The 26823-nt window shown below is 53.4% G+C and overlaps 1 pseudogene; it reads right to left on the bottom strand.

Moving 5' to 3' along the window:
* Positions 1-2722: 2722 nt before the first annotated feature.
* Positions 2723-26823, bottom strand: part of LOC102723999 (rho GTPase-activating protein 23-like) — a 42759-nt pseudogene continuing 18658 nt past the window's right edge.

Genomic DNA, 26823 nt, shown 5'->3' with positions numbered 1-26823 from the left:
TTCCTTAAATATTTGGTAGAATTTAACAGTGAAACCATCTGGTCCTGAAGTTTTCATTGTTGGGGGGTTTTAAATTACATATTCAATTTCTTTAGGAGGTATAGGACTATTCAGGTTATCTATTTTTTCTTAAGTGAGTTTTGGCAGTCTGAATCTTTCAAAGAATTGGTCTATTTCATCTAAGTTATTGAATTTATGGGCATAAATTTATGGTCTATAGCCAGGCGTGGTGACTCACGCCTGTAATCCCAGCACTTTGGGAGGCCAAGGGGGGCGGATCACGATGTCAGGAGATCAAGACCATCCTGGCTAACCTGGTGAAACCCCATCTCCACTAAAAATACAAAAAATTAGCTGGACGTGATGGTGGGCACCTGTAGTCCCAGCTACTCGGGAGGCTGAGGCAGGAGAATGGTGTGAACCCAGGAGGCGGAGCTTGCAGTGAGCCGAGATGGTGCCACTGCACTCCAGCCTGGGTGACACAGCAAGACTCCGTCTCAAAAAAATAAATAAATAAAAAATAAAAAATAACTTAGGGGTCTGTAGTGATGTCCCTCTTTCATCCCTGATACTGATAATCTGTGCCATCTTTCTTTTTATTCTGTTAGTCTGGCTAGAGGTTTATCAATTTCATTGATTTTTTTTCAAAGAACCAGCTTTTGGTTTCATTGCTTTTCTTCAACTGTTTTCAATTTCATGGATTTCTGCTCCTCTCTTTATTTCCTTCTGCTTGCTTTAGGCTCTCCAAAGACCTTAAAGGATATCTGTTTTATTTATTATAGCACCCCACAGATTTACTGATATTCCCATTTTATAGATGAGGAAGCTAAGGATCAGAAAGTGGTTAGGTAACTTGCCCAATGTCCCAAACTACTAAATGGTGGAGCCAGAACTCAAACCCAGGACTGTCTGACTCCAGAGTCTGTGCTTCTAACTACTGAGTGACATTGCCTCCTAGCCACATAACTCCCAGGCCAGGTCCTTCTACTACAGCAGATGCCTCACTAAACACTGCCAAGGTAAGCAACTTCTCAGCTTACCTTGGGCACTCGGTACCTCCTGCCTTCCCTCCCAGGGACCATCAACTTTCCCCACGGTCCAATTGCCATTCCCTCAATTCTCTTGAACAAAAACCAAAGTGGGCTGGCTTGTACAGGGATCAAGCCTTCAGAATTGCCTTTGTACGTACCTTGGACTTGACTGAACTATAGGTGGTAGAATCTGTTGGTGAAAGACAGAAAAAAAAATGAAAGTTGCATCAGGGAAAAAGAAAGTTGAGTCTTATGCACACAATTCCTCTCCTCAAAGGCTTCAGAAACCAGGGAATTCTGAAACATGAGATCTCCCCAGGCCCTAGGAGTATGATGGACTTCTGATGTCCATCTATGGGAAAGGGATGGAGCAGAAAATGATGTTAATTGCCACTTCCTCTAGAGGCAGGAAGTGACATCAGGCTGCCAGCCACTGGCCCCTCATTTACCGAAGGCTAAGGGCAAGGGGGCATTGTCTTTGAGCCTAGTTCCTCTCTCCTTCCCCGCCTGTCCCTGTTACTCTGAAGCACTGGAGAGAAAATGCTAAATATCAGGTGCAGTCCATGGAAACCACCACAGTGAAACACAGCAAATCACAGATGCTCTGGAGAAATGGAGACCACACAGTGCACCTCCAGACCTGGGGTCACCCTGCCTCATGGGCAGGGTCCCCAGTTATCACCCAGTTATGAAGGAGACTAAAAGCATGATTTCTATGGGACTTGGGTCCCACTCCCTTAATATCACTGGGGTGGAGAAGGAACCAGAAACACGTCCTGGTGGGTCCTCTCCAAGGCTAGAGAGGGAGCAGGTTGGTCCAAGGGCCTCCTGGGGTCCCACAGGGTAGTGGGCAGGTGTGGTTAATCCACACTCTCTGGCAGGCAAGTTAGATGCCCCCCTCTCCGGACCCCTCCCCCTGCACAAGGTGAGAAAAGCAAGATGGGCGACCACACATGACACACGGGGCGCGGGGGGCGGTGGGTGATTAGAAGAGACATGGGGTCCCTCTCTGCCGTCCCACCCCCATGTCTTCTGGCCCCTCCTGAGCCTGCCTCTGGTGACTAGGGAGCTCCTGTGTGCCTCTGTCAGAGACAAACAGAAATGCTAAAACTAAAGAGAGGGACAACAATGGCGGGGGGAGGAGTCAGTGGCTGCAGCCACAAAGGGAGTGGCCCTCATCTGTCTCTGAGCATGTAAATCATCTGTCCTCTGCCATGAGAGGGCCAAAGGCCCTGCAAACAGGACTTAGGGCCCCGGTTTCTTAAGCAGGAGGAGGCGGCCCATTGGGGTGACTGAGGCAGGAGTTAGAGATAAAGAGAAGCTTCTGGGCATGGCATCGCTGGTCTCCAGAGAGTGTCGGTCCCCAGCCCGGATGACTAGCAGTGGTGAGACTCGGCAAAGAGAGGCCACAAGGTCTGTGGCACTGCAGAAGGGCAGCAATTCGATGCCCCGGTGTCCAGGCAACGGGGAGGGCCCTGGGCCCAGTGAGTGCCTCCTTCCTCCTGAGAAGGGGCTCTAGGATGGGAGGGGCATGGACTGCTGGGGTAAGTGGATAACAAGCAGGGGTAACTGGCATGTCAGTGTGGGGTCCTCACAGTCCGGGACATTCTGCCTGCCTCTGTGCCCACCCAGCCTTCTTATAATCACCCGCCACTGTTAGTGACCGAGGCCGCGACACTGCACTGTACTCTTTAAATCTCCAACAGGTCCGCTGGAGGAGGGGAGGGGGAGGAGAAGAGAAAGGGGTGGGAGGAGAGCACGGGGAGAGGAGGAGGGAGAGGTGGGTGTGCAAGGAGAAAAGGAAGAAAAATTAAAAAGAGGAACATGCCCAGAGGGACACAGCCAGCCCATGAGAAATTAAAGGCTGAGGAAAGAAACCAGTGAGAGAGGGGGAACAAAGCTCCAACCCTGCCTGGGGCGGGGCAGCTGCACAGACAGGAGGTGGGCACGGGGCAAGCTGGACTTCCCCAGGGAGGTAGAAGGCCCCCAACAGCCCCATCTCCATGGTGGCTGGCAGGGGAGGGCCCCGCTGGGGTGGCACAGGGAAGCTGGGCATCTGGCCAGGTATCTGGGACCCTCAGGAATGCAGTGTCCACCCTCCTGCCTCCCCACTCCCAGGCCCCTGTGCTCACCTGACCCCGGGTCACCAGGGGGCACTGTCCTGCCAATGTTGGGCAGGAGGTACTCAATGTTGGGCACTGCCTGAGGCTCCTTGCTGCCCACAGGGGTCTGCGAACAGGAGGAGGGGTCAACTGGCATGCCCTCGGATGCTGGGCTGCCGACCCCCCAGAGGGGGGTGCCCTGATGACAGAGCCCGTGTCTCCTCCATCAGACTGGGCTCACTGGGGCAGGGACCGTCTCCCTCATCAGCCGGGTGCTCTTAAGGATGATACCTACATGTCCCCTGTTAGACAGCTTTGTGCTTTCCTCAACATCTCAGAACCACGAAGGCCAGAGCGGCCCCTTCAGCTAGGGGCAGGAGCTGTGTCTCCCGCACTAGACTGGAACTCCTCCAACCTAAGTCCTTCTCAGTAGCCTGGAGGGCAGGAGCTGCCTTTACTCCTGAATTGGGTTCCCTCTGAGCAAGGCCTGTATCTCCCCCATTTAGACTGGGGATTCCTGAAGGCAAGCTTTGTGCTTATCTATCAGACTAGGGGCTCCTGAGGAGAGGGTCTGTGTTTCCTCCATCAGACTTGAGGGAAGCCTCAAGGACAGACACCTTCCCCAGCTTAAGTCTCGCTGCCTGCCCCACCCCCAAGGACTGGGGCTCACCCCAGACCAGCCCCCATGCCAGCCCAGCCCGCAGCATCACTTACTCTCTCTCTCCCTTGTCCTCTTCGTCACTGAAGAACCAGTCTGACTGCAGAGAAGACAAAAGGAAGGGATGAAATCAGCATGGGAAAGAAGAGTCTCTTCCACCTGCTCATTCCAGAGGACCCACTCAGGCGGCAAGGGGAGCCTCTCTCTCAACAAACCCCAGGCTGGTGGGGCTGCAAAAGAGGGCTCAGAGGGAGCTTGATGGATGCTAAAACCTGACTCCACAGACTATGAAAAACCCTGGGGGAGAGAAAAGGTGGGACCCCAGTGTGGGAGGAGACACGGCAGTGAGTGGGAGCGGCCACGTCAGACGGGAGATAGGCTTAGGGAGAGCTTCGCTTTTACTTGCTTTTCTCTAAACACTGTCCTGGGCACACCCCTATGGCATACTCCCCACAGCGAGCCGGGGGGCAGGGAGGCACCAGTGCCGTTAGTGTTGGCCAGGTCCATGGCTGTGACAGCCGAGCATGCCCCAGGCCACCTGCCACCCATGGGTGCCACACTGACAACAGGGGTGTCACATACTCAGCCCAGAAAAGGAAAATGACAGGAGAAAGGTGTTGGAGGTTTCCTGACGGGCAGGAGGCGAGAGCTTTCTCATAAAGGCCAAACAAGAGACAAAATAAAGACCCCCACAGTTTAATATATTTTGTAAAATTTGAGAATCTTGAAGATAAAATTCTAAGTTTTCTGAAAAAAAAATCCAGATTGCTTATAAATGAACACGTATCACAGGTACTTGGAACTTTCAGCAGCAAGACACAAGAAGACAAGACAAGAAAGTAAGTTTTGATGTGTTGAAGGAACCTAGAATTTTATACCCTGCTAAACTCTCATTTAAAAAAATGAGAATGTAAAATAAAGCTATTCTTTTTTTTTTTTTTCCAACAGAATCTCACTCTGTCACCCAGGCTGGAGTGCAGTGGTGCAATCTTGGCTCTCTGCAACCTCTGCCTCCTGTGTTCAAGTGATTCTCTGGCTTCAGCCTCCCAAGTAGCTGGGATTACAGGTGCATGCCATCACGCCTGGATAATTTTTGTATTTTTAGTAGAGATGGGGTTTCGTCATGTTGGCCAGACTGGTCTCAACTCCTGACCTCAAGTGATCCACCTACCTCCACCTCCCAAAGTGCTGGGATTACAGGCATACCACAGATTGTTTTAATCACCCCTTAAGTGAACCTCCTGCTCTCTGGAGCCACCACACCTGGCCTTGAAATAAAGCTATCCTGAGACAGCAGAAAATTTTTTACACAAAGACTCTCTTAATTGAATACTTGAGCAAGTAAAGAGATGGACTTCGGCAAGCTCCAAGAAATAACTAAGGCACTTTTGGCTTTTATTGTATTTATTAATTTATTTTTGAGATAGGGTCTCTCGCTGTTATCCAGGTTGGAATGCTGTGGCATGATCCTACCCTTGAACACCTGGGCTCAAGAGATTCTCCCACCTCAGCCTCCTGAATAGCTGGGACTACAGGCATGTGCCACCTTGCACAGCTAATTAAAAAAAAATTGTAGATTTTGGGATTACAAGCATGAGCCACTGCACCCACCACTTTTGGCTTTTAGATGTGGTGGAAGGAAGACACAGAAACTGATAAGCATTAGAAATTGACAGTGACAGGCTGGGTGCAGTGACTCACACCTGTAATCCCAGAACTTTGGGAGGCTGAGATGGGTGGACCACCTGAGGTCAGGAGTTTGAGACCAACCTGGCCAACATGGTGAAACCCCATCTCTACTAAAAATATAAAAATTAGCTGGGCATGGTTGTGCACACCTGTAATCCCAGCTACTCGGGAGGGTGAGGTGGGGGAATCACTTGAACCCGGGAGGCAGAGGTTGCAGTGAGCTGAGGCCGCACCACTGTACTCCAGCCTGGACAACAAGAGTGAAACTCCATTTCAAAAAAAATAAATGAATAAAAATTAAGTCAATTACCCTTTACCCCCCTCAACACCTATGAAAGAACAGGAACAGGCAATTTATAATCTCATTATGTAGACTCAAAACACACAAAGAATATTATATATATTTAAGGATAGCCATGCATTTACAATAAGTGGAAGGTGTCCTGGAAGGACACATATTAGCCTATTAAGAGTGGGCACCTAGGGGAATGAAGAGGGGAAACAAGGGGACTTGCCTGAGCATGTGCCATGAGCCTCAGTTATTATTGCTCATGATCTGACATGTGATTAAATCAAACAGCACAGGAAGGCCAGAAGGGAAACAAGAAAGAGATAGAAGAGAAGAGAGCGAAGGAAGATAAGAAAAATGCAAGCTCTGGCTGGGCACAGTGGCTCACACCTGTAGTCCCAGCACTTTGGGAGGCTGAGGCAGGTGCATCAGCTGAGGTCAGGAGTTCAATACCAGCCTGGCCAACAGGGTGAAACCCCAGCTCTACTAAAAATACAAAAATTAGCCTGGCATGGTGGCGTGCGCCCATAATCCCAGCTACTTGGGGGTGCTGAGGTGGATCACTTGAACCCAGGAGCTGGAGGCTGCAGTGAGTGGAGACTGCGCTGTTGCACTCCAGCCTGGGCGACAGAGTGAGACTCTGTCTCAAAAAAAAAAAAAAAAAGAAAAGAAAAAGAAAAATGGAAGCTCTGGAGTCAGTTATCTTGGTTCGAGTTCACCTTAGCCAAGTTACTTTCCCTCTGTAAGTCTATTTACTTATCTCTAAAACGGGCATGATGTGAGTACCTCCTTCTAGGCCTGAGGAGGATTGAGATGAAATACTGTATGGAAAATGTTGAGTGCAGCACGTTGTTAATGTATAATAGATGTCAGCTACCGTTATTCAAAAGTGCGTCTTCCAGAGACAGGCTGACCAGGGGGAGCCTGAGGATCGGCCCAAAGAAGCCAGCTGTTAACTCGGGTTGGAAGGTGCCCAGAAGTACTCTGCAAGCCACAGCATCTACAGGAAGTGCCCGGGTGGCCACGGCTCTCAAGAGGAATCCACACTAGTTCCTGCCACCCTGTTTCTGCACATGCTGTTCTTTCCGCCTGGGATGCCCTTTCTCCCTGCTCTGCCTGGCTAAGTTCTCATCATGGTCCTCTAAGGCAGTTCAAGAACTCCATGACTACGACCCCAGCCCTGCACCCAGGGCCAGGGTGGGTCCTTCTGTGGGGCTTCCTTGGACATAGCCCAGAGCAAAAAGAGATGCAGCTCTTACTCTGATAAACATTATTAAATGAATAAATGAATGAGAAACATCATTTTATGGATTTTTTTGTGTGTGTGTGGCAGGGTCTCACTCTGTCACCCAGGCTGGAGTGCAGTGTCGCAATCTCGGCTCACTGCAGCCTCCCACCTCAGCCCCCCAAGTAGTTGAGACCACAGACACGCACCACCACACCCGCTGGCAATATTCCTTCTGAGCAGGTTCCCATTCACCTCCGTGTTTCCAGCATGGGGATCTGTCTCTGGCGTGGAATAATGACCACGAGGAAGAGGATGACATTCAGTTCTCACACAACACTTAGAACCTGCCAGGCACCGCCGTGAGTGCTTTAGCAGACATTCACAACAATGTGAGGTAAACAGTATTGTCATCTCTACAGGTGTGGAGACTGAGGCACAGCAGGTAAGGAACTTGTCCAAGGCCACACAGCACATAGGAGCAGGCTGGCCCTAGAGCCACTGCCGTCAATCTCCCACCCCAGGGGGCACTTGGCAATGTCTGGAGACATTTTTGATTGTGACAACTAGAGTGATATTCCCAGCATCCAGCAGGTAGAAGCCAGCGATTCTGCTAAATGTCCTATAACACACAGAACAGCCTCCCACAATAAAGACTTATCTGGACCTCAGTGGTCACTAGTGCTGAAGCTGAGAAACATTAGGTGTCACTGCCTTTGCTGAGTGAGTCCCTGAGCAAATGCCCTGGGTGATCTTTGTTTGGGTTCCACTTGACTTCGTAAACATAGGTAGAGGCTCCTGGCAACTTGCCCGCTGCAAGATCAGACATCCAGGTTTGCTCTCCTCTCTGCTCTGCCATTATCTTGCTGCGTGGCCCTGGGCAAGTCGCTGTTCCTCTTTACCCCTCAGTTGCCACCCTCTTTCCGACCTGAAGACTGGTCTGGGTGCCCCAAGTGACAGCAGCACTGCCCTGGCTATGGAGCCTCTGGGCTAGACAGAGCTGGCACGCTTGGGTGGGCAGGCTTTCAGGGCTTGCAGAGTGGGTGGCTCATTCCCTTGACAATCATCCAGGGCTGGTTACGTTCAAATGCCAAGGAGGCAGAGAAGGGAAGGACACTAGCTCAGTTAGCTCTCGGGAATGAATCTCTGAGTAGAAAAGCCCAGCCTGGCCGGGCGTGATGGCTCAAACCTGTAATCCCAGCACTTTGGAAGGCCGAGATGGGAGGATCGCTTGAGTCCAGGAGTTCAAGACTAGCCCTGGCAACATAGTAAGACCTCATCTCTACAAAAGAATACAAAAATTAGCCAGTTGGTGTGGTGGTGGCATCTCTAGTCCCAGCTACTCAGGAGGCTGAGATGGCAGGATCGCCTGAGCCTGGAAGTGGGCCATATTTGCCCACTGCACTCCAGTGTGGGCGACAGACTGACTCTATCAAAAAAAAAAAAAAAAAAAAAAAAAAAAAACAAAAAAAAACCAGAAAGCGAAAAGAAAGAGAGAGAGAGAAAGAAAGAGAAAGAAAAGCCCAGCCTGATATAACCTCAATTAGCAATTTACTCATTCATTTATACTCCACAAACACTGAGTATCCACTGTGTGCCAGGCGCTAGTGTCAGTGCTAAATGAGACAAACTCCACCTTCTCCACCCTGCCCAGAGCAGGGACTCCCCCTTGGGGCTTTGGCCTCCTTCCTCCCTGAAGACTGCAGTTCCTGACACCTCAGCTGACTTCAGACCTTGGGCTTCCAGGGGCTTCTCCAGGAGCACAGGGCCAGACACCCACTCTTCCCTGCTGCTGCCCCCAAAACACACCCTCCTGGGAGGTTCCGGGGCTCCCTGGTGCCCTGGAGAGCTAAGCTTTCCCAAGGCCTCACCAGGATCCCGGATGCTGCAGGGCAGCCCTGGCCTCCCAGACAGCTCTGGAGTGGTGTTCCCAGTGTCCGGATGCAGCAGGCTGTGATGCTCCCTCCTGTGGCTCGGAGCCCTGAGCATGCAGTGAAGGAGGAGATGGGCAAGCAAGGCTGTTAACATGGCTCAGCTGCCCACCACCTCGCATCCTTACCCTGGCCCCCTCCCTCCGTCCCAAGCCAGCTCAAGGAGGGACCTAGGAGTCTGGCCTTTGGGCTGATAGCAGGAGGAAAACACAGGCTTTGGTCAGTCAGATCTGGCTTGAAATCTTGGGCTGCCACTTATTAGCTGTGTGACCATGAGCAAGTTGCTTTGCCTCTCTGAGCCTGTTTCCTCCTCTGTAAAATGGGGGTGATAGGGCCCAGCTTTCCTTCCCTAAAGTGTCTAGGGGGCTTGGGACTGAGGCTTCCCTTCCTCTGACCAGCTGCCAGTCTTATTTCCCCTGGCAGGAGGGGCTCTGTTCTCATCCTCTGTGGGCTGTAACAAGAATTGGAAATGGAAAATCTATGATTCATAATGACATCTGTGTGTGCCCCAGAAGGCGGCAGTGCTGCCTTAGGGTTGGGCTCTGGAAGACCAAGGCCTCCTGAGCCCTCTGCTGGCCACTCTGGGCTCTCCTCCGCCCATGCACGGTAACAAGAACCTACAGGACCACGGCTGTTGGCATCCAGGAAGCCATGAGAAGGGAGGTGGCCAGCCCAGTACATGCCAAGCACTGGTGCAGGATCCTGCCTCAGGCCAAGGCCCTGTGCCTTGCCCCATCCACCCCTTGTTACCATGGACATCACCTCTACCTCCCCAAAACCTCAGTGGGGCCAGCAGGGAAAGTCACTAGAGCCGGGGCCTCCTGATGTCAGGCCAGACCTTGGCCCCCGTCTGCTCGTGTCTGCCAGGACACCTCTCCAGGGGCCACCTTCTGAAGCTGCCCCTTCTGCCCTCCACCTGTAGCACCTTCCCTGCCCTTCCTCCTCTTCTGCCTTTCCCAGGCATCTTGGACGCTCGGGGGCCTCTTGACTCTCCTGCTGGGGACACAACATCCCAGGGCAGCAAGGATTCCAGGATCCATTCCTGCCTTGCCTTGAAATGCAGCCCATGGCTTTGGAGGAGTACATACCACCCTAGCAGCATGCTCTAAAGCTGCCGAGCCCTTCCTGGGGCACACCCCGCCAGGCTGAGCAAGAGTGAGGGGCTCAGAGGAACATGGCCTGGGCCCCAGGGGCTGCCGGGTGACCCCCGGAACAGGGGCTTACGTGCTGGATCAGTGTCTCCACGATCTTGTAGAGGTCAGGCATGTGGGTCACCATGTCTGTCATGTTGTCCTCAGACGTCCTCACCAGTGTCCGCCCAAAGACCAGGGCCAGGTTCCGGGGTTCCATCTGGGCAGCAGGGAAAGCAGGTCACTGTCAACATCCTGAACTCAGTCCTCCCTCACTCTGGCCCCTAAGGCCTCTGTCCCCAACTACATCCTCACCAGTCCCCAGCTTAGAGGGTGGACACCCCCTTGTATGGGCATGGAGATGCTTGATGAGTAGAGCACAGGCCAGATTTCAGCCCCTTTCATCCCCAGGCCCAGCAGCCATGAGCAGTGCCCAACCTGCACACCTATACAGGGCAGCCCTGAGTGGTCAGTGCCAGCAGTGGGAGACCCTGCAGTAGGAAACATGTTGGAGGTCCCAGGGGTTATTTTAGGCCTGGGAAAAAACCCGATCACTTCCAGGTGCCTGTAATCCCAGCTACTCGGGAGGCTGAGGCAGGAGAATTGCTTGAACCCGGGAGGTGAAGGTTGCAGTGAGCTGAGATCGTGCCAAGGCACTGCAGACTGAGTGGCAGAGTGAGACTTCGTCTCAAAAAAACAAACAAACAAAAAACACAAAAAATCCTATCACTCCCTTCATTTTCCCCACTGCAGAACCAGAAGGCATAAGGGGTTTGATGAGGAAAATGCAATGCGAGGGACTTGAGCTAAGTCGGAGGATGGCAATGCATCCGATACGGGGAGCCGGGGTTCCCTGCCTCTGGAAAGCCCTCAGAAACTCAGGAGATGGCTCTCTGGGGGAAAGCACTGACCAGCATGTAGGAGCGGGATGGGGACGGAGCAGTCATATAGGAGGGCGTGCCTAGAGGGGCCTGAGTTATTGGACCTGCAGGAGCTCAGTGCGTGCTGAGGGCCCCCACACAGTAAGTCCGTGCTTGCCTCCCCCAGACTCCATGCGGGACTCCTACCCACCTTGTTTTTCTCAGAGTGGTCAGCGATGGTCTTGAGATGGCCCACAAGGAATTTGAGCGTTTCATAATAGTGTCCTGGGAGATCCCGGATCTGAGCAGGAGAGAGGAGGGGCATGGGGACAGGCTGTAAGGGCCTGCCGCTGTCCCCCGTCACCACCATGCCCCAAAGATCTCCCACTACCATGCCTCAGGGAGTCTGGAACCTATCCTCTAACCCCCCGTTCTCTTGTGTGGATGGGGAAACTGATGCCCTGAGTGGAGCAGGGCAAGGCCACAGGGGTCGTGGGTAACACCGGACTCCCTGCCTCCTGGGACAGAGGTGCTCAGGCAGCTGCCCCACCTCGTGCCTGGCAGCACCTCTCTCTCCTTACCAGCTTCCGCAGCGTCCTCATCCGCTCCCGCGCGTCCTCAATGCAGTTGGCCTCGATGAAGTCATTGTATTTGTCTAGAACACAGCAGAGACTCTTTAGAGAGGTAGGGGCAGCACCTTACCCTGTTCTCCAGGCCGAGGGCCCTGCTGGGAGGGCTGTGTTTTGAACTCCTCCAGTTCGGGGGCTCCAGCATGGGCGACAGCCTCTTGTGTATGTGAACACACCCACCACAGCTGCACTTACCACAGCTGCACTCACCACAGCTGCACTCACCACAGCTACACTCGGGTGTGCACCTGACCTGGGGTAGCCCAGCTGTGTTCATTTGGGAGGCAATACGACCTGAGGTGCATGCTGATCGCAGAAAAGGGGTCCATGCCCCCGTCTCCAGGACATGGACACCAAGGTTCAGCAGGTCAGAAGAGAAGGGCACCTGGAGAGGAGGAGGGGCTTCAGACAGCCTCGACCAAGGATTCCCCCAACTCCCTTCAGAACAATTCCATGGGGACCTTTAAAGAATGGAACATGATAAGCCTATTCTGAAATTCATCTGGATGAGCTAATGCACAAAGACAGCCAGGAATAGTTTTTAAAGAAAGAGTAACGCGGGAGGATCTGCCCTACCAGGGACTGAAACATCCTGAATGGATGGCACAGCTGAAGCCGGCTGGCACGGCAGAAAAGGCAGAGCAATGTTAAGGCTAGAAAGGGGGGAAGTGGGCCATGTGGATATTTATTATATGATAAAGGCAGCACTTCCAATCGGGGGGAGGGATGGGGGCCTCAACAGATGTCCCCGGGACAAATGGCTACCATCAGGGGCGGGGGGGATCATTTCTAGCTCACAATACACAAATGCAATCACACGGCAGAGCCAATTGTGAAAATTATAAAAGCTCTGGGGAAAAAATAAGAAAATATTTTTATAATCCTAAGGCCATCCTAAACATGAGATGCAGAATCCATGAAGAAAAGATGAACAGCTTTGGTCACATTTTAAACAATTGTTTTCGGCCAGGCACGGTGGCTCACGTCTGTCATCCCAGCACGTTGGAAGGCTGAGGCACATCAGCTGATCAATTGAGGTCAGGAGTTCAAGACCAGCCTGGCCAATGTGGCAAAACCTCATCTTTACTAAAAATATAAAAATTAACTGGGCATGGTGGCAGGTGCCTGTAATCCCAGCTACTTGGGAGTCTGAGACAGGAGAATGGCTTGAACCCAAGAGGCCGAGGTTGCAATGAGCTGAGATCGTACCACTGCACTCCAGCTTGGGTGACAGAGTGAGACTCAGTCTCAAAAAAATAAATAAAATTAAATAAAAATAAAATTAAAAATTGTTAGGCAGGGCGCGGTGGCTCACGCCTGTAATCCCAGCACTTTGGGAGGCCAAGGAGGGTGGATCATCTGAGGTCAGGAATTTGAGACCAGCCTGGCCAACATGGTGAAACCCCGTCTCTACCAAAAATACAAAAATTAGCTGGGCATGATGGTGGGCACCTGTAATCCCAGCTGTTCGGGAGACTGAGGCAGAAGAATCGCTTGAACCCAGGAGGCAGAAGTTGCAGTGAGCCGAGATCGCACCATTGCACTCCAGCCTGGGCGACAAGAGTGAAACTCTGTCTCAAAAAACAAAACAAAACAACAACAAACAAAAATTTTGTTTTCAGTTTCTATACTGCAAAGTGAAAAGGCAAATGGCAGGCCAAAGCAAATATTTGCAAAAACTAACAAAGGGTTAATATGTGTAAAACACAAAGAGCTTTTCTCCCACAAATCAACATAAGAAAAAGATAAACAACCCAACAGAAAAATGGGCACATGGTCTGATCAAGTAATTACAGAGAAAATAGAAACAGCCAGTATGCTAATGAAAAAAGATTTAATCTCCCTAGTAATTAGGGCAATGAAAATAAAAACAATAATGAGATACCATTTCTCTTATCTGATTAGCAAAAGTTTAAAATATTAATAATATTTAATGCTGTCTGGGTGAGGTGGCTCAAGCCTAAAATCCCAGCACTTTGAAAGGCCGAGGAGTGATGATCACTTTAGACCAGGAGTTGAAGACCAGCCTGAGCAACGTAGTGAGACCCTGCCTCTACCAGAAAAAAAATTTTTTTTAATTAGATGGGTATGGTGGCACAAACCTGTAGTCCCAGCTACTCAGGAGGCTGAGATGGGAGGATCACTTGAGCCCAGGAGGTTGAGGCTGCAGTGAGCCATGATTGTACCACTGCATTCCAGTCTGGGCAACAGAGCAAGATCCTGTGTCAAATAATAGTATTTTTATTTTTATTTTATTGTATTATTTATTTATTTATTTATTTATTTATTTTGAGATGGAGTCTTGCTCTGTCACCCAGGCTGAAGTGCAGTGGTGCGATCTCGGCTCACTGCAACCTCTGCCTCCTGGGATCAAGCAATTCTCCTGTCTCAGCCTCCCTAGCAGCTGGGACTACAGGCACCTGCCACCACACCCAGCTACTTTTTGTATTTTTAGTAGAGATGGGGTTTCACCACAATCAGGCTGGTCTTGAACTCCTGACCTCAGGTGATCCACCCGCCTCAGCCTTCCAAAGTGCTGGGATCACAGGCATAAGCCACCATGCCTGGCCTTCAAATAACAATAATAGTTGTAATATCCAATGCTGTTGGGGATGTGGAGAGACAGACTCCTACATTGTTAGTGGGAGTCTAAATCAGGGCCTCTTTCTCAGAGTGCAATTGACACTGGTCTCAGAAAGGTTCACCAGGACTTTGACCCGGCAATTCTACATCTAAGAATCCCCTTAGAGAGCACAGATCCAGGCGTGCAAGGACTTATTCAAGGAAAGCCATTGCAACAGGTTGTGTGATAGCAAACATTTGAAGACAAGCTAAATATCCATCAATAGAGGAGTACTTAAAGAAATTATAGTCTATTCAAACCATGAAATTCTATGTGGTTGATTTAAAAGAAGAATGAGGTAGAGCTCTCTGCACTGACACGAATGAATCTCAGAATTACAACTCTGCTTTTGTTAAAGACAACTCAACCAGCGGTGTGCTGGAGTCCGCTCACACCAGCTCCTGAGAGCAACTGTGTGCCTCTCTTCCCAATTCCATGTTGGTGACATCATGTTGGTGGCTTGAAATAAACCATGGTAGGAGTATTTACACCATGGAAGCTGGAAAACGCTAGGCATTAGGGCTTTTTTCTCCCAGAAACAGATGTTAAACATCTGCCAGCACACCCCTGAACCCACCCAACTCCAAACCCCACGCAGGCACGTGTGTATCTCTGCCATGCATATAAGAGGGCCAGGAGAGAAACACAACAGATTGTGAATAAGCAGTTCAGCAAACAGCCAAAGCGCATCGGAGCCCGACGCCTGGGGTGGAATCCTGGCTCTGCCATTTACAACCTGTGTGACCTTGGGCAAGGCATTAAACCTCTCTGAGCCTTGGTTTCCTCATCTGTAGAGGGAAGACAATAGCACCTTCCTCATGGAGTTGCTGTAGGGAGTTGTGCTTGGCACACACTAATGCTCAGAAAGTGTTAGCCACAACCTCCCGTGAAAGGGAGGAGGAGATTCACAGGGTCCTGTGCTGTTTTTATTCACATCTGCACAATCTATGTTTTTTTTTAATAAGATTTTGTGTTAAAAAAAAAAAAGCCAGCGTGGTGGCTCATGCCTGTAATCCCAGCATTTTGTGGGGCTGGGGCAGGCAGGAGGATTGCTTGAGCCCAAGAGTGCAACACCAGTCTGAGCAACATAGTGAGAAACTCCCCCCATCTCTGAAAAAAACTTTTAAATTAGCTGGGTGTGGTGGTGTTCACCTGCTGTCTCAGCTACTCAGGAGGCTGAGGTGGGAGGATCGCTTGAGCCCAGTAGCTTGAGGCTGCAATGAGCTGTGATTGCGCCACTGCACTCCAGTCTGGGCGACAGAGCAAGACTGTCTCCAAAAAAAAAAAAAAAAAAAAAAAAAAGAGTAAAACCAAATGCAAAAGTAGTGGTCAGGGGTGCGGCACAGACTGGTGTCCCCTCCCCACCCCCACTTCCACCTCCTACTCACCATCAGTGAAAAGAGGCTCGGGCAGCTTTTGGAAGAAGGACTTGAGCAGGCTGTTGATCACATTGAGGTCTTGCCAGCGCTGGGGGAGGAGTCAGATGTCAGGCCACAGGCAGGCCTAGCCCAATGCCCATGCCTCCATGATCATTCACCCCAGAGCCCAATCAAGCCCACCAGGCCCTCCCTGGGACCCACTTAGACTAAGCTCTCTACTCATCAGGATGGTGGCAGCAGAACTGAGTCCCCAGAGAGGTCCTGTGCCCACACTCACACTTGGCCCCAGCCCCTCCCTGCTCCTGCCAGCGCGGGGGCTCCAACACCTCCCCATTCACAGAAAGTCCCAGGCACTGTGGGGACACAGTGAGTGGCAGCTGCTGCCTCCACTGGGCACAGTTTAAGCATCCGTGACACCGCAGTCATTCATGCCAGCTCCTTCCTGTCTCAGGTCCTCTGCATGTGCTGGTTCCCTCAACCAGAACTTTCCTCCCCGCCTCCACACAACTGGCTCCTCATCCCCGCCTAAAAGTCGCTCTTCAAAGAGGCCTTCTCTGACCCTCATAGCTAAAGCAGCCACCTTCACCACTGCCCTGTCACCTGCACCCCAGCCCTGACTTTGTTTCCTTCATGGCGCTTAACCCAATTTGTCATTATTTTCTGCTTTTGTTTCTATGTTCATGCCTGTCTCCCTGCAGGACTGTAAGCTCCAGGAGGAGCCAGGATCCCGTCTGTCTCATTTCCCACTGTGCTCCTATCACCTAGCTAGGACAGTTAACCTGATACTTACATGGCCCTAAATCAGTGGTTCTAACAGAAGGAGGCAATTTTGTCCCCCAAACTCCCACTCCACCCCCAGAGGACATTTGACAATGTCTGGAGCCATTTTGATTTTCCCAACTGGGAGGTGACACTTGCATCTAGTGGATCGAGGCCAGGGATGATTCCAAATTTCCTCCAGCGCACAGGGCAACCCCACACAACAAATAATTGTTCTTCCCAAAATGTCCACTGAGGTTGAGAAACCCTACTCTAAAATAAATGGTTATTGAGTACAAGAACTAACGGCCGGGTCGTTGTCCCTTCTGTCCTCCAGGGGGCACCATGCCCCCAGCTTCACCCACCTCATCCTGCTGGTTGATGTCACCAGGCCCACGATTGAGCTGCTCCTGTAGGCTGGACACCACTGCATTATTGCCAGGCACTCGGTAAAAGCCTGTGGACTCCAGCCCTCGTGCCTCCACAATGTGACAGCATGCAGCCACGATTAAGGGGACATGCTGGGGACACAGGGGAGGGGTGTTAGGGGGGACAGGGGCCAGAGGAGCTGGGGAGGCCAAGAAGGGGACAATGCAAGGCCCAGAGCTGCTGCCAGGAACCCTTGGGGGGAACAAAAGGCCCTTGCTGCCTCCAGTCTGAGAGCTACAAATGACACCAAAGCCTCGCCATGGTCTGAGAAGGAGCCGGGCTCAGCCTCAGCCCTGCTGCTCCCTCCCTGGGAGGCCCAGGGCAGGCCTCCCCTCTCTGGGCTGTTTTCCCAGCTGTGTTTGTACAATGAGGTGGAGAGCTTGTTCCATGTCCCTTGCTGCTCTGACCCTCTGTGCCTTGGTCTCCCCCTGCCGGGCCTGCTCTGGCGTGTGGCAGAGACCCACCTGGTTCTCCGTGGCTGGCTGGCAGTCCTCCAGCCTGACCCCAAATGCCCTTGGGACAGCCTTCTTATTTTTCTTGATGATGTTGATGCCCCAGGGGGTTTTGGGGGCTGCAGCACTGTCATCTGAAGTGGGGGAGACAGAGCCAGAGTGAGCTGGAGTATCCAGGAGGGTCGCACACATTCACTGCCACATTCACACATTTGGATGTATGGGGATTCCATCAGAGAAGAAACCAGATGCCCAGGGCTGATGGGACATTGTATGGCAAGAGAGAAGGCCTGAAGGGGAGGATGCTTACCCCAAAGGAGAGGCCCAGAGCAATGCAAGGACTTCTGTGTGGCTCGTGGGCCAAAACTACAAGGCGGAAGCCATAGAACTTTGTTTCTTTAGAGACAGGGTCTCTGTCGCTCAGGCTGTAGTGCAGTGGTATGATCATAGCTCAATGCAGCCTCAAATTCCTGGGCTCAAGCAATCTTCCCTCCCCAGCCTCCCGAGTGGCTGGGACTATAAGCTCATACCACCACACCTGGCTAATTAAAAAAAATTTTTTTGCCAGGCACAGTGGCTTATGCTTGTAATCCCAGCACTTTGGGAAGCTGAGGCTGGCAGGACCACATGAGGCCAGGAGTTCGAGACCAGCTGGCCAACATGGCAAAACCCTGTCTCTACTAAACATACAAAAATTAGCTGGGCGTGGGCCGGGTGCAGTGGCTTACGCCTGTAATCCCAGCACTATGGGAGGCCGAGGCGGGCGGATCACAAGGTCAGGAGATCGAGACCATCCTGGCTAACACGGTGAAACCCCGTCTCTGCTAAAAATACAAAAAAATTAGCCAGATGTGGTGTCGGGCACCTGTAGTCCCAGCTACTCAGGAGGCTGAGGCAGGAGAACGGTGCGAACCCAGGAGGCGGAGCTTTCAGTGAGCCGAGATCACACCACTGCACTCCAGCCTGGGCAACAGAGCAAGACTCCGTCTCAAAAAAAAAAAAAAAAAATTAGCCGGGCGGGGTGGCGCATGCCTGTAATCCCAGTTACTAAGGGGGCTGAGGCACAAGAATCGCTTTAACCCAAGAGGTGGAGGTTGCGATGAGTTGAGATCATGCCATTGCACTCCAGCCTGAGTGACAGAACAAGACTCTGTCTCTAAATAAATAAATAATATATAAAAAAATATTTTGTAGGGATAGGACTTTGCTATGTTACCCAGGCTGGTCTCAAACTCCTGGCCTCAAGCAATCCTCCAGCCTCAGCCTCCCAAAATGATGCTGGGATTATAGGTGTCAGCCACCATGCCTGCTGGCCCAAGGGAACAACTTTCTTTTATTTATTTATTTATTTTATTTTTTTTGAGACAGGGTCTCGCTCTGTCACCCAGGCTGAAGTGCAGTGGTGTGATCTCGGCTCACTGCAACCTCCACCTCCCAGGCTCAAGTGATTCTCGTGTCTCAACCTCCCAAGTAGTTGGGATTACAGGCGCACACCACCACGCCCGGGTACTTTTATTGTATTTTTTTTTTGAGACGGAGTCTTGCTCCGTCACCCAGGCTAGAGTGCAGTGGCGCAATCTTGGCTCAATGCAAGCTCTGCCTCCCAGGTTCATGCCATTCTCCTGCCTCAGCCTCCTGAGTAGCTGGGACTACAGGTGCCTGCCACCATGCCCAGCTAATTTTTTGTGTTTTTTAGTAGAGATGGGGTTTCACCGTGTTAGCCAGGATGGTCTCGATCTCCTGACCTTGTGATCCACCCGCCTCGGCCTCCCAAAGTGCTGGGATTACAGGCGTGAGCCACCGTGCCCGGCCTTTTGTATTTTTAGTAGAGTTGGGGTTTCGCCATGTTGGTCAGGCTGGTCTTGAACTCCTGACCTCAGGTGATCTGACTGTCTTGGCCTCCCAAAGTGCTGGGATTACAGGTGTGAGCCACCTTGCCCAGCCAGGTAAGAACTTTCTAATAGCCAAAGGTGAGGGAAATGGGAAAGGTTGCTCTTGGAAAGGGTGGGCCTCTCATCCCTGCAGAGACACCAGCAAAGATTAGAGGACCACCCAGCAGGGATGTCAGGGAGGGGAATCAGGCTCCAGGCCCTTCCACCCCAAGACCCTGAGAGCCCCCAGACCCTCACAGGCATGCACACGCAGACAGACATACCGGTAACCCTGGCACACAGTCAGGCACACACGAGCAGACACAGCCCAACACACACACACATGCCCTCCCCTCTCCATGCCCTCTTCCCCAACACACCACCCTGTCTCAGTGGCCACCTTCCTACCCTTGCTCCCTGCGGGCAGGTCCTGAGTCCTGAGGCCACGTGCCGCACTCTGCTTGAGGAACTCAGACTTGAGGCCCCCCAGGCCGCGAGAGCCTTTGGGGGAGGAATCAGCTTTGGGCCCAGAGCTATGGCTGTGTAGGAAAAAGGGGGAGAGGAGAGGTCTTCACTTGGGGTGGCCAAGCAGGCCACCCACCCTGGCCTCCTGCCCCTCGGGACATCCCCTCCACCCTGAGGCAATGCCTCCATGCCAAACTGCAGCCTGGAGACCCTGGATACCCTGGATACCCCTTTCCCCAGCAGAGGGCAGCCCTGGAGGTGGTCCAGGAAGACATCCTCTGCCTTCAGCCCCTTACCACCCCCACAGAGGAGACTGCTCCATGAGGGCTAGGCCTCACCTCACTTTGCGATAATCATTAAGCTTCTTGCTGATCAGAGCTTGGTTGGCACAGCCGGGGTCCTGAAGCAGGAGAGGAGAGAGCGGATCATGTCAGTGCCCACAGCCAGCCCACCCCTGGGTTCATCCCTAGCCCTGCTTCCCCTCTTGTCCACCTGCCAGGTGGACAGCCCAGACCCTGGAGTGAGAAAGACCAGGCCTGGACTCCCCAGCACCCTCTCACCAGCTGAGGCCTTGGGGAAGCCTCTTAGGCTCTCTGAGCCTCAGTCTCCTCGGTAATAAACATGGGGGGCTAAAAGGGAAGGCTCGGGGCTGGGTGCAGAATCATGCAGCACTCGCCACTTTCCTGGCAGATGCTGAGCAGGCATGGAGGAGGTGCCCCAGGAGGGACTGCTACTGCCATAGTGATGTGACTTGGAACCCCCCTGACTAAGCCTTGTTGGAGACAGCCAAGCCAGGCCCCCAGAGGAGGAGGCCCAAATTCCAGGTGCCTTCCTCCCTGCAGTGGGGAAAGCTGTTCCCGGGAGAGCAGAGCCTGGTCAGCGAGAGGATGTGTCCTCAGCAAGAGGCCATGCACTAGCGCCCCCTCCCACGGCCAGAGCAGGCCCAGGCCCACTGCCCTCTTGGCAGAGACCCCAGGCCCGGGATGCCCACATGACTTTGTGTGGGTGTCTCAAGGCACTTCTGTGCAGGCTCCTGGCCAAAGAAGTAAACAGGGAGGAATCCCTACCTAGGCCCCTGGAGTGTAGCTACGGCTGACCGCAATGGGCGCCATTAAAAAAAATTCTTCGGCTGGGCGCAGTGGCTCACACCTGTAATCCCAGCACTTTGGGAGGCTGAGGTGGGAGGATCATGAGGTCAGGAGATCAAGACCATCCTGGCTAACACAGTGAAACCCCGTCTCTATTAAAAAAAAATTAGCCAGGCATGGTGGCATGTGCCTATAGTCTCAGCTACTCAGGAGGCTAAGGCAGGAGAATCACTTGAACCTGGGAGGCGGAGGTTGCAGTGAGCTGAGATCGCGCCACTGCACTCCAGCCTGGGCAGCAGAGCGAGACTCTGTCTCAAAAAAAAAAAAAAATTCTCCCAAAGTCCCTGCCGAGGCCCTTGGCTCCAACCCTGCCCACCTGTGGCCAAAGGCCAAGCCTCTCAGCCTCCTCACAAGGTCAATGTGTTCATCCTCCTGCAGTCAGGCCAGCCCAGTGCAGTTCTGGTGTGGGGACACTCATGCCCTAACACACTCCATAGGAGGCCCCTGCCTTCCTCGCCTGCTGAGAAAAGCTGAGACTGGCCTGGAGCTGACCACTCCACATCAGAGCCTGCTCATGGCGATCCTAACACAGTCACAATAATCCCTGTCATCATTAGGGTCAGGATGGTGACTGCTGGTCCCCGCACCCGAGGACGCCAGGTCCTCCATGAGCCCTGCCCTTGCACCCTCGTCACCCCGAAACCTAGGGGGACACAATCACGAGGTGCACTCCTGTCAGCCCCCCTTTCTAGCAGAGGGAAGTGAGGCTCAGAGCGGACATCCCAGGTCCACAGCCGGTGAGAGGCCACCCCGCCCGCCCTCTGTGGCCGCCGGGCTGGCCGGGCCCTCACCTCGCCCTCGGCCCTGCTGTTCTCCCGGATCGCTCTGATCCCCCCAGCATGTCATCCCGGTCCTCAGCCTGAAAGAGATATTCACAGAAGTCAGCGGTGGTCAGCCGGAACACGTGCCTCCTCTTGGTCTCGCTGTAGATGTCCACGAGGCAGGAGCCGACGCAGACGGGCGCCGCCTTGTCCTCACCTGCGCCGGCCCCCACAGCCCCCGCCGCCGCCGGCCCGGGCTACCGCCGCTCCTTGCTCAGCGAGAGCGAGCGCGCCAGCAGCGCGGCGTACACCCGCTTCCACTGGCGCAGGCCGCTGCCCGCTTTCTGCAGGGAGACACGGGGTTGGGGGAAACAGGAGTGGTGAGAGGTCAGTTCTGCCCACTGCTCTCACAGTAGCAGACAGAGGACAGCCGGGGGATGGACCCCACGCTGCCTACCAGGAGCCCCCTGCTCCACCCGGCTAGACCTGGGCAGCCTCCTGCCCACAGCCCACCAATGCTTTCTCAGTCCCTCGCCTGCCTAGACACCCCTACCCATCACCCTAAAGCCCGCCAGCAGACCCCAACCCTCTCCCCCTCTAAACACCAACATCAACACTCACCGAGCGGTGGCAATGCTCAGACACCCAGCATGGCCCTCCGTACATGAAATCCTCGGGAAGCCATTCCCAGCCCACGCCCCTCCCCAGGCTGCCCCTCACCCCAGCAAACCTGCTCAGAAGCTGTCCGCACTCTTAGAGGGTCGTTCTCCCCACTTTCCTGCCGCCCACCCAAGACTCCACTTGCCCAGAAGCTCCTCTCAGGGACACCCAGAACCGCCATGTGGCCAAAGCCAATGGCTGCTTCTCCCCAACTTACTTGCCTTAACCCCTTGGCGGCATCTGACACAGCCAGCCCCTCCTTCCCTCTCCAGACCCCATCTCGGCACCTGAGACCCCACGTTCCCGGCTTTCTTCCTAATGCCACTGGCTCCTTCCTAGTCTTCTCTACTTCCCCTCCCCCACCCTCTACACCTGTAGTTAAACAGCCAGGAGACTCGTCACCACGGGACATTTGTGTGGAGGGAGCTGGAGGGTGTGCTATGGCATCTGAGGGATGCGGCTAAACATTGCGCAATGCACAGGACAGCCTCCCCCAACAAGGAATTATCTGGCTCAAAATGTCAGCAGAGCAGAGGGTAACAGACCCCGCCCTAAAGGAGGCGGAGCTCCAGAACTTCGCCCTGACTCTCCCCTCCTCTCCTCTCCCTGCACACCTCCCTCAAGGATGTCACCTGTGCCATGCCTTTAAACCAGGTCCACCTGCTGATGGCCATTCCCGAGCCCAGCATCTCCCCCAGCCACAGCCCGGCACCCCCACCCTGCTCAGTGTCTTCATTTGCAGTTCCCATGGGCACTTTGCACAATACTTGCCAGGCCATGTGATTTCTTACCATCAAACCTCTTCTCCACTCTCTACCCCCATCTTTTCCAGCTCAGTCAATCCATCCAGTTGTCCAGAAACCTGGGAGCTGCCCTTGACTCCTCCCTTTTCCTCGCCCTTGACATCCCATCCATCAGGAAGTCACAACTGTTCTGCCTCCAAAACATCCCCTGTCTCTGTCTTTCCTGCCAGAGGAAAGACATCTTTCCATGCCATCAACGCCTCTTGCTTGGAGGATGCACAGACCTTCCCAGTCTCTACTCTTGCTCCTGCATCCATTCTCCAGCAGCAGCTGCAGCGATCATGTTAGAATGAAAAGGAGATCACATCTCTCCCATGCTCAGCATCCTCTCAAGAGATCCCATCGCCCTTAGAATCAAATCTAAAGTCTCCTGTGGTCTGTACCTGCCTTTCTCCAAATTCATCTTCACACCTTTCTCACTATGTCAAGCCAGGGGGCCCTTGCATGTGAGCGAGCCAAGCCTTTCTTTTCTCAGGGCCTCTCCGCTTGCTGTTCCTTCTGCCTAAGCCCCCCTCCCTCACTTCTATATGTGGCTGCTTCCTTCTTCCCCTTCAGATCTGAACTCCAGCATCACCAATGTCAACTCCTCAGCGAGGCTTTCTCTGGCCATATTTTTCCCTCAATGCAGCTCCCGCTTCTGATCAGCTTGATCCTTTCCAAGAACTTACTGCAGCCTCAGGCTGTCCTGGGGACAGGGAGCTTGTCCGTCCTCTCATTTCCATATCCCAGGGCCTACAGCAGCATGCAAGCGCTCATCAATATTTGCTGAATAAATGAATTAATGATCCTTGGAGCACCCTGAGGGCAGGAGCTCCATCTCCCATCAGACCAAGAGCTCCTCTCTGCTGGCTGGTGGCTCCACATCCAGCACAGGCCTCAGCTCTCAGAACAAACCAGACAAAGAGGTCCCGTGGCTGGCAGATGGGCACAGCCCACATCTGGCCTCCCATCATGTGGATCCTGAGCTGTGAGCCCTGCTCATCACAGAACTGCTGGAGGGGGACAGGGACATTCAGAGTAGGAGACAGCAGAGCCCTCCAGGGAGAATTTTAATGTGACAGTGAGGTGGTGACAAGGGCACCTCTCTGAGGCTAAACCAGCGGCATGACCTAGGACAAGTCAACCGCACTCCCAGGCCTCAGTGTCTCCGGCTGGTAAATGAGTGAGGGAGTTGGTCACCAAGGCTGCATGCAGCTCCCATGCTGGGGCTGAGGCTGAGGGGACAAGTCACTGTCCCTTTCCCTCCTCTGCCTGACAGTCCGTGTCTCTGAAAGAGGCTGGGGCTGGGAGGGAGCACAGAGAGGGTGCCCACGGCCTGGGTGGACCAAGGGCCTGAGGCTGACTTGAAGACTCTCCTCTAACGTCCAGGCCACAGCACCAAAGGAACAAGTGACATCGGGTTTTGGCCAGCAAGGGAGTGGAGGCCTGGTCCTCCAGAACTGGCCAGTGAGCAGGAAGGGGACAGCTCCTGTCCCTGAACTGGGCTCAGGGCCCCAAGGGGCTGAGGGTCAGGCTCCCCAGCAGGGGGAGCCAGCCACCCTCACAAGGACCCTTCATGTGGCTCACACGTTAGACTGGAAGGGCTGGCCCACTTGCGGCTCTCCTCGCACAGTGCACGTGGCTGGTCCCTCCTTGCCTCATGGCTCCCACCCCACGGGTCGCTGCCAACTTGCTGGCTCTTTTTGGTCTCTGTTGGCCTCCCCGGCCCCCCCCACTTCTCTCAAGGCTCAGCCAGGTCTCTTGCCTTCTTCCTTCAAGCCCCTGCACAGAGGCATATGTAACTCGTGGGTGCTGACAGACAAAGGCCGTCCCCAGGTGGGCCTCCCTCTAGTAATACGCCCTCAGAGCCTCTGTCCCCAGGACATCTCCACTGGGGTCTGTCCCAGGGCCCTCAGACTCACATAGCCCAAGTGGAGCCACTTGGCTTCCTCTCCCCAAACCTGCTCCTCCAGTGTGCCATGGCCCAGGGAGGGTCCCACCACCCACCACCCACCACCCTCCCTCAGCCCAAGCCAGGAATCCAGGAACCTTATCGCCTCCTCCTCCTTCCATACCTCCCAGCAGCTGGCAAGCCCTGGCCGTCCTTCCCATGGAATCTCTCTCTAAAGTGTCCGCTCCACCCAGCCCCACACCACTGCCTTGGGTCGGGGCCCCCACCCTCACTCACCTGGACAAGAGCAATGGGATTGGCTCCTCCTGTCACAGACATAACCCCAGTCTCCTGCCAGCCCCAGCCCACATTTAAAACCCTGGACAGAGCCGGGCACGGTGGCTCACGCCTGTAATCCAAGCGCTTTGGGAGGCCAAGGCAGGCAGATCACTTGAGGTCAGGAGTTCGAGACCAGCCTGGCCAACATAGTGAAACCCAGTCTCTACTAAAACTACAAAAATTAGCTGGGTGTGGTAGCAGGCGCCTGTAGTCCTAGCTACCCAGGAGGCTGAGGCTCGAGAATTGCTTGAACCCAGGGGGCGGAGGTTGCAGTGAGCTGAGATCATACCACTGCACTCCAGCCTGGGCAACAGAGTGAAACTCCATCTCAAAAATAGATAAAATAAAATAAAATAAAATAAAATAAAATAAAATAAAATAAAATAAAATAAAATAATAAAACCCTGGACAGGCTCTTTCTGGGTATGAAGGCCCCACACTCTGGGCAGGCACCCAATTACCCAGCTCATCTTCCACCTCTCGCCCTGGCTCCCAGCACACCTCTCCCCACCTTTCCCCAGGACCCTCTAAGGAGACATCCTCCCTGTCAGGCCCCTCCACTGTCTCCCAGTTTTGTGGCTTCTCATCCTTTCGTGTCTCAGCCTCTGGATACCTCCCTACCCACGCCCACCTGCCCCTGCACCCGGGCATCACGGCAGTCTGTGCACTTGGAACCATGATGCCACATGCGTTCTCTCTGCTCAACAGGAGCAACAGGAGCCCCAGGAGGGCAGGGCTGCCCTGGCTCCCTCACCACTAACTCCCCAGAACCTCCACAGAGGCTCCCGAGCAGGGAGGCCTTAGTCATTCTCCACGGAGGCGCATCAGTCCCGCCTCGACTTCACCCTCACTTAATCCACAGCAGCCCTTGGGGTAGGATAACATTGTTCCCATCGTACAGATCAGAAAGTGAGGCTCGGGGAAGGTAAGTGGGGTGCCCAAAGCCATGTGCTTGATATGTGGCTGGATAGGAACTCGAAGTCTGTCTGCTTCAAAGCTTATGTTCTTTCCAGGGACCCTCAAGACCCCAGAAGGCAGGGCAAAAAATTCAAATAGCAGTAAGTGGGCTGGGCACAGTGGCTCACGCCTGTAATCCCAGCACTTTGGGAGGCCAAGGCAGACAGATCATTTGAGGTCAGGAGTTCGAGACCAGCCTGACCAACATGGTGAAACTCCGTCTCTACTAAAAAAATACAAAAAAAAAATTTAATTGGGTTTGGTGGTGAGTGCCTGTAGTCCCATCTACCCAGGAGGCTGAGGCTGGAGAATTGCTTGAACCCAGGAGGTAGAGGTTGTAGTGAGCTGAGATTGCGCCACTGCCCTCCAGCCTGGGCAACAGAGTGAGACTCCATCTCAAAAAAAGAAAACAAATAGCAGTAAGCAGAAGTACAGCAGTTTCAAGTGCTGGGCACTGGGTAAACCCTTTACTTAGATCATCTCATTTAATCCTTAGCAATAGGCTTATGAGCTAGGGATTACTGTTAGCTCCATTTACAGACGAGGACACTGAGTCACGGCCAGGTGAGTCACCCAGCTCTCAGAGCAATGGGTGATGTAGTCAAGAGTCAAACCCGGGTTCATCCTAATTGCCGGGAGGGAAGGCAGTGGTCTCTCCTCCCACTTCTCCAGCCCACAGCACAGCCTGGGGCCAGGATTTGCACCCCATGGATCCAGGGGCTCTGCCCTTCTCCTCTCAGAGTCCTGCTGGTTCCCTCCCAGG

This window comes from Homo sapiens, assembly GCF_000001405.40.
Source record: "Homo sapiens chromosome 16 unlocalized genomic scaffold, GRCh38.p14 Primary Assembly HSCHR16_RANDOM_CTG1".
Classification (NCBI taxonomy): domain Eukaryota; kingdom Metazoa; phylum Chordata; class Mammalia; order Primates; family Hominidae; genus Homo; species Homo sapiens.
This window is presented reverse-complemented; position numbering and strand designations above follow the sequence as displayed.